The sequence below is a fragment of the Homo sapiens genome, chromosome 4, assembly GCF_000001405.40.
Source record: "Homo sapiens chromosome 4, GRCh38.p14 Primary Assembly".
NCBI classification, from domain to species: Eukaryota; Metazoa; Chordata; class Mammalia; order Primates; family Hominidae; genus Homo; species Homo sapiens.
In genome coordinates, this window is record NC_000004.12 from 152,242,932 (window position 1) to 152,244,323 (window position 1,392).

Genomic DNA, 1,392 nt, shown 5'->3' on the forward strand with positions numbered 1-1,392 from the left:
AAGATTTTAATTGAAAACTCAAGACCTTTTCCTATAGATAGTTCTGGGAGCTGGAATTTCTCTTCAGTTTGCCTTGGGCTTCATAAGACATTTGGGGTCCTGGATCCCGTATCTCCACCAGCAGCACAGAGCCAGTAGTTTACAGAGCATGGCCATTTGTCCTGGGTCCTGCTGGGAAGTCACAGACAAAATACCCTGAAGCCCCCAAGCCCTTCAGTGCTCTGAAAGTCTGCTGTGAATAAGAACACCACACTTCCTGGACTTTACCTGACTCCTGGGTACCAGAACTTGAGTCTCCCTCAGGTGTCCTGGAAGTACTCAAGGTTGTGAGTGATTTTGCCTTAATTCCAAGGGGAATGAATGCTGGCTAGTGCTTGCCATTTCAGAGCTGCTGGAGGCTAGTTAAGAAAACAGAACCAGAGTTTTTTAAAAAACTGTGCTGAGACCAGGCAGTTCAGGGCATTTTCTCGTGAATGAGCTTTGCACAATCAGCTCAGGAAGTTGCTAGCCTAGGATCTGAACTGCTCAAATCCAAAATTTGCTAGCCTAATAGCCAATAAAAAAAAACCAAAAGAGAGGGGGAAAAATACATGCAGTGTCTTCTTGAAGGATTAGCTGAAGAATTATACCAATTTTTTTTTTAATGCTCAAATCTCCAGACAAGTGAGAGTACGAAAGAGATTCTCTTGTTAAGAATGAAAAGGGGGAAAGAATTCACCTCTCCTTTCAGGTGTAGAAGGAGGAAAGCAATGAATAGAAAAGGGAAATGGTTTCCTCCTTTTTGGGAAAGAATAGTATTAACCTTCAAGTAACTGCAGAGGTTGTCGGAGCTTATACAAGGAAACTCTTCAGAAAGACAGAAACATGAATCATGGGTCGTTTTATCTCCACTTTAAAGCACTCGAACATTCAAATTCCCTAAAGAAAAGAGAGCGGGTGGGGCAAATGATCCAATCTACTGGATTTATTAATATCCCCAGCGCCAGCCCAGGAGGATCCTTAGTTTCTGCTAGTGACACTAGCCGTGTTTTTTCCTGAGGTTGAGTCACAGTTTCCCTAGTCATGGGGTTGAGGTCACTGGAGAGGGGACGTGGGAGCCATTCTGGGTGTGCTTTTATTTTTAATAGACTAGTGAGAAGTTGGCAGGACCCGTTACAGGAAGTCACGTGCTGGAACAGAGGTGCTTGATGCCGGGAGTTTGATGAGTGTCTGAAGAATGTTCTGTTAACAATATGAAGGCTCCAGATGGCAAACTGGGAAGGAGCAATCCACTAAGTGCACTTAGAAAGGCCGTGTGCAGTTGCCCAGTACAGTACCAGGTCAGTGAAGAAATAGGAGTGGATGGGAAGTGGCTGGCTCGCCTTGGTGATATATGAAGGATTATGGGGCAGA

At 44.5% G+C, this 1,392-nt stretch overlaps 1 annotated feature.

Annotated features, from left to right (window-relative positions):
* Positions 932–1,118: a silencer, noted in NCBI's record as "fragment chr4:153165015-153165201 (GRCh37/hg19 assembly coordinates)". NCBI's record gives its function as "represses an EF-1alpha promoter that drives an FKBP-Casp9 reporter gene in an ReSE screen in phorbol 12-myristate 13-acetate-treated (for megakaryocytic differentiation) K562 erythroleukemia cells {active_cell/tissue: K562(+PMA)}" and the evidence as "EXISTENCE:reporter gene assay evidence [ECO:0000049][PMID:32094911]".